Source organism: Homo sapiens, chromosome 5 (genome assembly GCF_000001405.40).
Source record: "Homo sapiens chromosome 5, GRCh38.p14 Primary Assembly".
In the NCBI taxonomy this organism is placed as follows: Eukaryota; Metazoa; Chordata; class Mammalia; order Primates; family Hominidae; genus Homo; species Homo sapiens.
In genome coordinates, this window is record NC_000005.10 from 178,182,182 (window position 1) to 178,195,176 (window position 12,995).

The window sequence follows — 12,995 nt, forward strand, 5'->3', positions numbered from 1 at the left end:
AAGCACTCTAAACCTGTGAGGTGATGACTGCCCAGCTTCAAATATGCTAAAACAATGGAATCGTGAACCCTAAGTGAATTTTGTGGTATGTTAATTATGTCTCAGTAAAAACGTGGGGGACAAAAACAGAAGAAATGGCTAGAATGTAGAAAGATAATCTAGTGACTGTGGCATCCAAAGCTGCTTCCACCCTAGTGTGGAGTCCTGATAGGGAAGCCACACTGAGGAAGGGGTCCCAGGTGCGGGGGAACAACTGTTCCAAGAGACAGCTAATCACAGACAGCCTGCTGGCACAACATCCTGTTTCCAAATACCTTGCTCCTCATGTAGCCCCAGAAGTACAACTTCCTTCTGCACGTAGCTTCCTCCAGCATGACCCTATAAAACTTCCCTCCAGCCCTGCCTCTTTGCAGAGAGCCCCTTCTCTGCTGTGCTGCCCATTGTAACCTTGCAATGTATCTTTGAACTTTCTCAAATAAATCTGCCATTCTTTACCTATGACTGTCTCAGTAAATTCCTTTACTGCCTGTGACACCAGCCCCAGCCAGTTGCACCTGGTCAGGGTGCACTGGTCCCACCCATGAGAGGCCAGTTTTCACTTTTTTGGCAAAATGGAGAAACATTAATTGGGGCCAAGAGTGCCTGTTGGAAACTCATTTCTTGACTAGCATTCTTATAAAAACAATTGTTTTTTAAAGACAGGGCCTCCCTCTGTCACCCAGGCTGGAGTGCAGTGGTGCAATCACAGATCCCTACAGCTTCAAACTCCTGGGCTCAAGTGATTCTCCTCCTGAGTAGCTGGGACTACAGGTATGTGCCACCATGCCCAGGTAATTTTACAAAAATTTTTTTTTCATAAACCATAGTTTATACAATATCTTAGCTTACACTATTAACACTTTATTGAAAATATTTCTTTTTTTATTTTTTTATTATCTTTTTTTTTGAGATGGAGTCTTGCTCTGTTGCCCAGGCTGGAGTGCAGTGGTGCGATCTCGGCTCACTGCAAGCTCCACCTCCCGGGTTCACGCCATTCTCCTGCCTCAGCCTCCCGAGTAGCTGGGACTACAGGCACCCGCCACCACGCCCGGCTAATTTTTTTTGTATTTTTAGTAGAGATGGGGTTTCACCGTGTTAGCCAGGATGGTCTTGATCTCCTGACTTTGTGATCCGCCTGCCTTGGCCTCCCAAAGTGCTGGGATTATAGGTGTGAGCCAGCGCGCCCGGCCTATTGAAAATATTTCTGCTGAAAAGAATATACTATGCAAACACATAAAAGTGTTTGGTAAGAAAACAAAAGCACATGTTTACTACCAGTGTGAATTACTAGCTGACAATGATCAACTTCTCAAATAAGAACATTAACCTACTCGTGATTGAAGAAAGAATTATCCTGTCTATGGGTGACATAAGCAACGTGGCCAGGACAGAACCAGTGGATGAAACCACATATCATTCCAATTTGGCCAGTTAACTTATGTAAGTGTAATGAAACAGTTAACTTTATTCATTAATATACTCAAACATTATCTTTCCTTCCAAGATTTGCAAAAATTTAATTATCCAAATAATTTAAGTTTGGTATTTCTATATTTTTCAATACATAAAGGGTCAGGAACCTCTTATACGGTAATGAGATGGAAAGAAAACAACAGCTTCCCGTGAAAGAGGCCTAATATAGTCAAATACAAAAATAAGTAACGTAACCTCTTTTTTTTTTTTTTTTTTTTTTTTGAGACGGAATCTCACTCTGTCATCTAGGTTGGAGTGCAGTGGTGCGATCTCCGCTCACTGCAACCTCTGCCTCCCGGGTTCAAGTGATTCTCCTGCCTCAGCCTCCCAAGTAGCTGAGATTACAGGTGTGTGCCACCAGGCCCGGCTTATTTTTATTTTGTATTTTTAGTAGAGATGGGGTTTTACCATGTTGCTCATAGCTGATCTTAAACTCCTCAAATGATCCGCCTGCCTCGGCCTCCCAAAGTGCTGTGCTTACATGTGTGAGCCACCATGCCCGGCTGACGCCCAGCTGAAATGTAACCTCTTGATAACAGCCAAATCACTGTATTAGAAACATTTAAATTCCAGCTCTGGGGGTCAAGGGTGAGGCATTTAAAAGGTTCCTTTAAGTTAAACCAAGTAGATGAATTTTAAAAGAAAAAGCAATTTATGAACCTATGGACATATCATTAAGAAAGAAAAAAAATTATTAGTAAATTCCAAAAGTTAAAAGGAGTTGGAAAAAAATCTAACTAGAAAGAAAAAAAATGTTGGTTTCAATTAAGGGGGGTTTTTTGGTCCATTTCATATAAGAGCTTACTTAATCTTTTTCCAAATGCGCATTTATTATTTGCACAGATACATACAAATTATTCCCATTTTAAAAGCCAGAATAAAAATATACATTAACCACAGAAGTACTTACTCTAACTGGAAAGAAAATGAACATGGCTCTATTCAAAACAGCAGTAAACACAAAAGGTCAACATATATAAATCATGACAAGTGTACATCTTATTTTTGACAAAAATAAGTTCCATTTTTACATTAATGCGTCATCAGCTTCTATGTTAGATCCTCTGACCTTATTTACATTTACTATGAAATTGCTGTTAGCATGTCACTCAAAGCCACTCATCTCAGAGGGTATCAAGTCCTGAGCTTAAGTAGGAAACAAAACTCCCAACTAAAATTTGAACATAAATAATTGTAAAGATCAGAGAATATTAAAATATTTAAAAGTATAATATCTGGTACATAAATAACTCAAAAACTAATAATAAAGGTGTACAGACTGTCAAAGAAAAGACCATGTAAGACAAGAAATATCCCTGGAATCAAACTGATTTTTCACGCATTCAAGATCATTTGAAGGTGTGAAGCTAACTTTCATTGTTCTTAAAATCCTAGGAAAGCCAAATTTTAAAAAATAGCATATGACAATGCTTAAGTTTAAAAAAAGTTTCTCAGCTTAGTCTCCAAACCAGGAAGAAAGTATTTAATGATTAAAAACAAGTATGAACTGGAAAGATATTAGACTAAAAGGAGGAATCATAATGAGCAGGTAAAAATATTAAAGGAAAGCTTTAAATGCCCCAGCTCAAAAGAGCATTTCTAATTGGCCATCCAAATTATTCTTTTAGATTATTTTAGCCAAATAAAAATAAATTTACAGATGGATAACTGAGGTCCACTAACATAAGGTAGAAACAAAGTTTAAGCTAAAAATTAAATCTATATTTTGTTGCAGATAAATGTGAGATTTACCTACAGTCATTTTCTGCTGATGCTGAATTAAAAGCATGAGTTGACATCGTACTGACAGAAATGGTTTGACAGATATTTTCTTGGCTTTAAAATGATTTTTTTTGTATATGCATAGAAATGCAATGAGGATAAGAATAGTCTTCTGTATTGTCCGTACAGTTCATAAGGCCTTTGTCATTGTTAGTCAACTTAGATGTGAATATCAGTAGGGCCATTAAATTAAAGCTGGCCTGAAAGTTTTCAAAGTGCTACTGTTTCCAACTGATGAGATCTTCAGTTTTCTGGATTTTCTGGGTGACGATTATTTTCAATTCCTTTTTCTGGTGATATATACAAGAAGTTACAGCAGATATATAAAGGGAAGGTCAGAAACCTGCTGTCCAAGTTCATCACCACTTGTTCCTGATCCTTTTTAAGTATAAGTATTTGATAGCCAGTTGTTCTACTACATACTAGTTTTCCACTACTATCAAAAGAAGCCAAGCGTAATCTAAATGCTATGCTCCTTCGAGGCCGTAAACTGACAGACCCGCTGCGTGGCTGATTCAGTGTATTGCGTTTGAAAATGATGTATCCATTGGTGTAAATTACAAGTAGGTCAAAGCCGAAGTTAAAACCCGTCCAACACCAGTAGTATTCACCATCTTTGGCAAGCTTTCTACCACACCTCATGCTATTTCCCTCTAGGTCTTCTTTATTGATTTCTTGAGGCCCTACCTCACGGTCTTGTTCTGCCCGCAGCATAGCAAACCACTGCTGTTTATACACAGAAGACAGCCATTCTGAAGGTACTATACCATCTTGTTCAATAATTCTTGCAGAAGCTAGGTCACTGATAATATATTGTAACCTTAAATGTCTGAATACTGACACAAATGGTTTTCCTGGTTCAGTTTCAAGAAAGGCCATACCTTCAAAATCTTTTCTCTGTTTAGAAAACCAGACATCTGTTTCTGTCAAAAGCTGTTTTAAAGATCCATTCCAAGAAGGCACAAGTTGAAGGAACATCCACTTTTTTAGAGTGGTGTATACATCCATCTCCACTTGCATCACAAATAAGTTAGAGGAACCAATGAGCTGTTTCATGACATTTATACCGAGTTCTTTAAAAAGTTTAACATTCTGGTGAGTCATCAAATTGTTTAGAAGCCATTCAAGGCACTTTTTCTTTACAGAATCTAATCCATAGATCTCTACTGATGTGTAATAACCGCATACAGTTTTCACATTAATTGTTTCCTTCATTGTCTCACCACACTGCTGTATTAAACCATCCAGCTGCAGCATACAAGCTGCTGCCAAAATGGCAACAACTCGACTGGGTTTTATCAAGACATCATCTCGATACAGTGAACCAAACGCAACCTGCAGTGCGTCTACATCAATGTTCTGGTCAGGAATCTCCAGTTCAATAATATTCATGCTGGATTCTTTCCAAGAACCACTGAACATACTAGAAAAGTAGCCAGATTGACATAAATATATTTTGTGTAATCGCCATTCTTCTCCTAGAGCACAAATCTTAATGTCACTGTTTTCACCATTCAAAAATAATGTTTGATAAATATATTTGGATGTACTCCTTAATTTTTTCCTTGCAGGGGTGTTGAGGAGCGGCTGCTGCTTGTCCCCCTCCTCCTCATGCTCCTCCCTGTGCGAGTCCGGGTCACAGTAGCGGCAGGCCCCGCTGCTCCGCTTGCGCTTGTGACTGCCCGGGCAGTAACAGAAGCCGTAGCTCGCCGCATCGTCTCCAGTGTCCGGCCTCCGGGCCGAGCCCCTGGCCCTGGCACCCTGTTCCTGCTGGGCAAGGGCTCGCCTCGGCTGGCCCAGCACCCGGCTGCTCGACGATCCCATGGGTCACGGCTCCCCAGGACTTCAGGGAGCCCAGAGGAGGGGGTCTCTGGCCATGGCCCGGCCGCCGCCGCCAGCCTTCCCCGAGCACAGGTGCCTACACCGCCACCTTCTCACGCGCAGCCCCAACCGTTGCAGCGGACACTGCCGCCTCCAACCTCCGCACCCCTCCCCCACAATTTTTTTTTTTTTTTTTTTTTGAGACGGAGTCTTGCTCTGTCGCCCAGGCTGGAGTGCAGTGGCGCGATCTCGGCTCACTGCAACCTCTGCCTCGCGGGTTCAAGTGATTCTCCTGCCTCAGCCTCCTGAGTAGCTGGGATTACAGGCGCCCGCCACCACACCTGGGTAATTTTTGTATTTTTAGTAGAGGCGGGGTTTCCCCATGTTGGCCAGGCTGGTCTCAAACTCCTGACTTCAGGTGATCCTCTTACCTTGGCCTCCCAAAGTGCTGGGACTACAGGCGTGAGCCACTGCCTCCGGCCTAAAACAATTTCTTTTAGAGACAAGGTTTCACTGTGTTTCTCCGGGTGGTCTTGAACTCCTTGGACAGCATTCTTCATTGCTGGAAGCAATTCTCATCTGGCAGCCAAAACCAAGGTCCGTTTTAGAAGGACCACTTCCCTAGGAGCAAAGTTTTATTTGCAAGACCTGACAAAGGAAAATGTGTGTACCAGACGCTTGAGCCTAACCAGTCCAATGTAAATTTGCGACCAGGCACAAAAATAAAATAAAATAATAAAATAAAATAGGCCAGGCTCGGTGGCTCATGCCTATAATCCCAGCACTTTGGGAGGCCAAGGTGGGTGGATCACATGAGGTCAGGAGTTTGAGACTGGCCTGGCCAACATGGTGAAACCCCATCTCTACTAATAATATAAAATTTAGCCAGGTGTGGTGGTGCACGCCTGTAATCCCAGCTTTTCGGGAGGCTGAAATGGAGAACTGCTTGAACCCAGGAGGCAGAAGTTGCAGTGAGCCAAGATCGCATCATTACATTCCAGCCTGGGCGACAAGAGCGAAATTCCGTCTCCAGAAAAAAATAATAAGATAAAATAAAATAGAATAAAGACTTGAAGTCAAGCCAGGTACGGTGGCTGCTCACACCTGTAATCCCAGCACTTTGGGAGGCCGAGGTGGGCAGATCACGAGGTCAGGAGTTCAAGACCAGCCTGGCCAATATGGTGAAAGTGACCATGGCTGGGTGAAATGATCACTGCAGCCGGTCTGGGAAGGCAGAAGCAAGCAGAGGGCCTGGGCAGGATAGGCAGGGATTCTCTGTGGGGAGGATCTGTGGAGACAGGGGCAGCAGGATTAGGATGTCGGAATTGAGGAGGCTTTTGTCCTTGGGGGATGGAGTGGAGAAGTGGGGCATGGTCCTGGAAATTTGCCCTGCAGCCTCACCAGGCCATCTGGAAGCTACTTGTTGGGAACCCCGTGTGTGTAAAGGGCTGACCCAGGCCCAGACCCGGAGGAACTGGAGAAGGGCACACACTGAGACCACCCGAGGGGTGTGCTGGAACTGCTTGGCCAGTCCTTGGGGATGGGATGGCTGGGGCATGTGGGTGTCTTCCTGTAAGAAAACAGGACTTGATGAGGAAGGTGGGAGGCTGTTCCAGGCAGATGGAGGTCTGTGCCCCCAGAGCAATGTAGGAGTCGCCATGCGGGGCTCCATCTTTGGTACAGTGGGGGCAGAGATTGGCGAGGGGCATCAGGGCCAGATATGTAGGTGTGGGGAGCCCTAGATGGGCCAGTGCTGCAGGGGGAGGCAAGGTCATGCCAGGGAGGTGGATGGGACGCTGGACACAAGTGAAGAGTGACCAGCCCTGTGGCTTCCTCAAACCTATGTGAGTGCCTGCCCCATTCCCAGATGAAGAAAACAGAGGTTTCAATAGGGAAAGTGACTTGTTCTAAATCCCAGAGTTGGGAAGTCAGGAAGCTCAGCCTCCTGATTCCAAAGGCAAATCTGGAGTTTCTGTTGGAGTTAAGGGGCCAGGTGAATGGTCTATGTTGACCAAAAAAAAAAAAAAAAAAAAAAAAAAGCTCTGTAAAATGTTTAAAGAAGTTTATTCTCTGGCGTGAACCCGGGAGGCAGAGCTTGCGCCACTGCACTCCAGCCTGGGTGACAGAGCGAGACTCCATCTCAAAAAAAAAAAAAAAAAAAGAAGTTTATTCTCAGCTGATATGAGTGACCATGACCTGGGGTACAGTCTCAAGAGGTCCTGAGAAAGTGTGCCTCAGATGGTTGGGTTATAGTTTGGTTTTATACATTTTAGGGAGACAGAGGTTACAAGCAAATACATCAATCAATACATGTAAAGTACACATTGCTTCAGCCTATAAGGGCAGGACAACTCCAGGGGAGTTACAGGTCATAGGTGATTCAAAGGTTTTCTGATTGGCAATTGGTTGAAAAAGTTAAGCTTTGTCTAAAGAGTTGAAGTGGCTGGGTACAATGACTGACATCTGTAATCCCAGCACTTTGAGAGGCCGAGGAGGATGGCTTGATCCCAGGAGTTTTCAACAAGCCTGGGCAGCGTAGTGAGACCCGGTGTCTACAAAAAAATTTTAAAAATTAATTGGGCATCGTGATGTGCACCTGTAGTCCCAGCTACTTGGGAGGCTAAGGTGGGAGGATTACTTAAGCCCAGGAGGTCGAGCCTATGGTGAGCCATGACTGTGACACTGCATTCCAACTCGGGGGACAGAATGAGACCCTGTCTCAAAAATAAAATAAAACAGGCCAGTTGCAGTAGCTCACACCTGTAATCCCAGCACTTTGGGAGGCCAAGGCAGATGGATCACTTGAGGTCAGGAGTTCAATACCAGCCTGGCCAATATGGTGAAACCCCATCTCTACTAGAAATAGAAAAATTAACTGGGAGTGGTGGCATGCATCTGTAATCCCAGCTACTCTGGAGCCTGAGGCAGGATAATTGCCTGAACCTGGGAGGTGGATGTTGCAGTTAGCCGAGGTCGCACCATTGCACTCCAGCCTGGGCAACAAGAGTGAAACTCCATCTCCAAAAAAAATAGTAAGATAAAATAAAATAAAGAGTTGAAGGCATGGTGGCTCACGCCTGTAATCCCAGCAGTTTGGAGGCCAAGGAGGGCAGATCACGAGGTCAGGAGTTCGAGACCAGCCTGGCCAATATGGTGAAACCCTGTCTCTACTAATAGTACAAAAATTAACTGGGTGTGGTAGCACACATCTGTAGTCTCAGCTACTCTGGAGGCTGAAGCAGGAGAATCGCTTGAACCCAGGGAGGTGGAGGTTGCATTGCACTCCAGCCTGGGCGACAGAGCGAGATTCCATCTCAAAAAAAAAAAAAAAAGCGTTGAAGTCAGTGGGAAGAAATGCTTGGGTTAAGAAAGGGGTTGTGGAAGCTGAGGTTCTTGTTACGTAGATGAAGCCTCCAGGTAGCAGCCCTCAGAATAGATAGTGAATGTCTCTTTTCAGACCTTCAAAAGTCTCAGACTCTCATTGAATCTCTCCTAAATCTGACAAAGTCCTGGCTACATTAATGGAAATTCTCTACAGATGCAAATTTCCCCCATGGGAGACAGCTTTGCAGGGCCATTTCAAAATATTGTCAAATAAATATATTTTGGGGTAAAATATTTTGATGCCCTTCAGGGTCTGCTATCTGTTACGTGATGTACCAGAGTCAGGTAGAAATTTGGCATCTTATTGCTACAAAAATTCTGTTTTGAGCCAGGCACGGTGTCTCACACCTGTAATCCCAGCACTTTGGGAGGCTGAGGTGGGTGGATCACCTGAGGTCAAGAGGTCAAGAGTTTGAGAGCAGCCTGGCCAACATAGTGAAACCCCATCTCTACTAAAAATACAAAAAATTAGCTGGATGTGGTGGTGGGCGCCTGTATTCCCAGCTACTCAGGAGGCTGAGGCAGAAGAATTACTTGAACCCGGGGGCCAGAGGTTGCAGTGAGCCAAGATCATGCCATTGCACTCCAGCCTGGGCAACAAGAGCGAAACTCTGTCTAAAAAAAAAAAGTCTGTTTTGTCAGTCTTATGATCTCTATTTTATTTATTTATTTTTAATTTATTTTATTTTATTTTTGAGACAGAGTTTCACTCTCGTTGCCCAGGCTGGAGTGTAATGACGCTATCTCGGCTCACTGCAGCTTCTACCTCCCAGGGTCAGACAATTCTTGTGCCTCAGCTTCCCAAGTAGCTGAGATTACAGGCATGTGCCACCATGCCTGGCTAATTTTTTGAATTTTTTGTAGAGATGGGGTTTCATCATGTTGGCCAGGTTGGTCTCGAACTCCTGACCTCAAGTGATCCACCTGCCTTGGCCTCCCAAACTGCTGGGATTACAGGAATGAGCCACTGCGCCTGGCTAGAATAAATACTTTATGCTTTGGGCCAACAGGCAAAATCGAGGGTATGAAGTCGGTAAGTACATACCAAGAAATGAAACCAACTTCCATAATTTGGGGGGATTGCTATTGACAGAATGTCAAAGTTAATTTATGGATGCTGAAAGTTGAGTTTCATACAATTTTTATGTGTCATGAAATATTATTATTTTCATTATTTATTTATTTATTTGTTTATTTATTTATTTATTTTTGATACAGAGTCTTGCTCTGTCATCCAGACTGTGATCTCAGCTCACTGCGACCTCTGCCTTCTGGGTTCAAGCGATCCTCTGCCTCAGCCTCCCAAGTAGCTGGGATTACAGGCACATGCCACCACACCTGGCTAATTTTTTTGTATTTTTAGTAGAGATGGGGTTTCACCATGTTCAAGGCCAGGCTGGTCTTGAACTCCTGACCTCAAGTGATCTGCCTGCCTCAGCCTCCCAAAGTGCTGGGATTATAGGTGTGAGCCACTGCACTCAGCCTGATTTTTTTTTCAATGATTTAAAAATGTAAAAACCATTCTTTGTTCAGGGATCATATAAAATCAAGCAGTAAGCAAAATTTGGGCTATGGGCCATAGTTTGCCAACTCCTGGTCTAGATCTGCCCTGTTCATCATAGTAGCCACTGGCTACATGCAGCTATTGAGTACTTGAAATGTGGCCAGGGACAGTCACGATGGCTCACACCTGTAATCTCAGCACTTTTGGAGGTTAACGTGGGAGGATGGCTTGAACCCAGCAGTTTCAAGTTACAGCAAACTATGATTGCAACACTGCATCCCAAACCTGGGTGACAGGGAAAGAAAGAAAAAGAGAGAGAGAGAGGGAGGGAGAGAGAGAGAGAGAAGGAGGAGGAGGAGGAGGAGAAAGAGAGAAAAGAAAGAAAGAGAAAGAAAGAAGAAAAAGAAAGAAGAAAGAAAATAAGAAATAAGAAAGGAAGAAAAAAGAAAGAGGGAGGGAGAAAGGGAGGAAGGAAGGGAAGGGAGGGAGGAAAAGAAAAAGAAGTGTGGCTGTACTGAATTAAAATATGCTTAGGTGTAAAATACACACTAGATTTTGAAGACAGTACAAAAAGAAAATATCCCAATAACTTTTTGTTGATTATATTTTGGATATCTCAGAATAAGTAAAATATATTATTGAAATTAACTTCACCCCCCCCCCTTTTTTTTTTTACTTTTTTTTACTTTGTCTTAGTCCACTTTCTGTTGTTCGAATATCTGAGACTGGATAATTTTTAAAGAAAAGAGGTTTATTTAGCTCACGGTTCTGCAGGCTGGGAAGTTCCAGATTGGACGGCTGCATCTGGCAGCTTCTGGTGAGAGCTGTGTGCTGCACCAAAATGTGGCAGAGAAATGGAAGGCGGACCAGGCACCTGGAGGAAAGGGGGAAAACACGAGGGGCGACCTTGCTTGATGACAACCCAACTCTGAAGGTAACTGATCCAGACCCAAGAGAGTGAGAACTCACTTCTATGGGACTTGCATTAATATCCTGTCGTGAAGGCCCATCCCTCATGATCCAAACACCCCTGAAAGGTCCCCCCACGTCTCAATGCCGTTATATTGGCAATTAAATTTCAACATGAGTTTTGGTAGGGGCAAACCACATCCAAACCATAGCATCTTCTCACTGTTGAGTCACTTTTTAATGTGGCTATTAGAAAAATTTAAATGACATGTGTGTTTGCACTTGTGGCTGTTTTGCATCCGTATCTGGTATACAGTGCTGCTCTAGTAGTGAAGGTGGAGCGCCCCGAGTGAGATGACCCCGATTTGCCTCGGGGGGAAGTGGAAGGGCGTGGCCTGGTGTTCAGCAGTGGAGTGTGGGATCACGGAGGGACAGCTGGATCTCATTAAGGTGAAGTGGAGGGGCAGGGTTCACGGAGGCACACACTGAGGAAGCTTCTGCAGCAGTGAGTTGAGGGAGTGGTTAGGCTTTGTGGGTAGGGGACTGAGCTGTTTGAGGGTATCTGTAAGAGGCTGTGCAGCAAGGCAGGTGGCAAGAAGCAAGATGTTGGCTGGGCATGGTGGCACATGCCTGTAATCCCAGCACTTTGGGAGGCCAAGGCAGGAGGATTGCTTGAGGCTGGGAGTTTGAGACCAGCCTGATCAACATAGTGAGACCACGTCTCTATAAAAAATAAATCAATAAATAAAATTTAAAAAGCAAGATGTTGCCAAGCAGTTGGCCAAGTGGTGAGTATGAAAGAGAGAGACCCTGCCCTGAGGGCTTTCTGTCTCTCACCCACCTGGATCAGCACACAGCATGTATTTGTCTTCCACTCCAAGCCTACATCCTGGCCCCTGTTGGAGAAGGGCTCTGACCAGTTCACTGGCAGAATATGAAAATTGTATGTTAAGACATGCACGGCATGAAGCCCTAAGAAGCCAAGAATCCTTTCTTTTCACAGCAGGAGAAGGCCTCTGGCTGTTTCCCTGTGTTGACTGGAGGCTGAGTCTCTGTCCTCGACACCCCACCCGCTGCTGCCTCCTCTGCCCTGCCTGGGGAGCCCTGCCTTGCCTGGCCCTGTGCTGGGAACGGCCAGAGCTGGGGCTTCTTGCGTTTCCTGTTCACACCCGCAGAGCCAGCTTTGCCTTCCCCTCTGCTGTGCAGGGAGAAGGGAGGTGGGAGGTGCGGAGGGGATGGTCCTGTCTGTGGCTTCCTATTTCTTGGCTGGCAGGAGAAAGGCAGGCTTTCTGTGTCTATGTCTCTGTGGTCTTTCAGACTCAGCACTTGGGTAGGAAGATGAAAACCTCGGAGTGCCCCTTGTCTCTTTCCCTTGGGTCTGATTAGACCAAAGGCTGGTGTGGTGGAGGAGGTGAAAGGACCTGGCACGGGGAGGCTGGAAGCCCAGCGCTGCTCTGCTCACTTTCCCCTCTGCCAGCCTTTGTTACCAAAAGGTCTGGACTTGATCTTGGAAATGCATCATTTCTTGATCCTTCTCTAGCCTTTAGGGACAAATATACTAGAAGAAAATGGTCAAGACAATTGGTGCCACCAGCAGGAGGCATAGCAAGGAAGCAGGGGGTGAAAGGGTTTCTCCTTGAGAGAAGCAAGCCTCTGAGTCCAAGGCCCTCCACCAAGCGGCTCTGGTCCAGTGTTCCAGCCTTATTGCCCATCCTGCTCCATGTATGGAGTTGGGGGTTGTCACCACACACAAACACAACGTTCTGCCAACTCACCCTCCTCGATGTCTCTGTTCATCCCCTCCTTCCCATTTCCTCCACTGGACCACCGCCATAGCAGTATTCACTGACTTCCAGTTTCCTGCGGGATAAATCTGAACCCTTTGTCGTGGCACCCAAAGCCCTTGCCCAGCCGCGCTGTCCCAGCTCCTCTTCATCGTGTGGAGCAACTTGCAGTTCTCCAAGCAGCCTCTGCTTTCTCAAGCTTGGAACCTGAGCTGTGTCGTCTTCTCTGCCTGCACCCCTTCTTTTCCATCTCTGCTGGAGAACCCCTGCTTAGCCTCAGTAAAGATGTTTAAGGGACA

General features: G+C 45.0%; 1 protein-coding gene across 1 annotated transcript; it reads right to left on the reverse strand.

Moving 5' to 3' along the window:
* Positions 1–2,323: 2,323 nt before the first annotated feature.
* GMCL2 (germ cell-less 2, spermatogenesis associated) lies at positions 2,324–5,190 on the reverse strand. Its single transcript, NM_001358008.2, has one exon. It carries the CDS (start codon positions 5,116–5,118, stop codon positions 3,538–3,540), a length of 1,581 nt encoding a protein of 526 aa, NP_001344937.1. The 5' UTR covers positions 5,119–5,190; the 3' UTR covers positions 2,324–3,537.
* Positions 5,191–12,995: the final 7,805 nt, after the last annotated feature.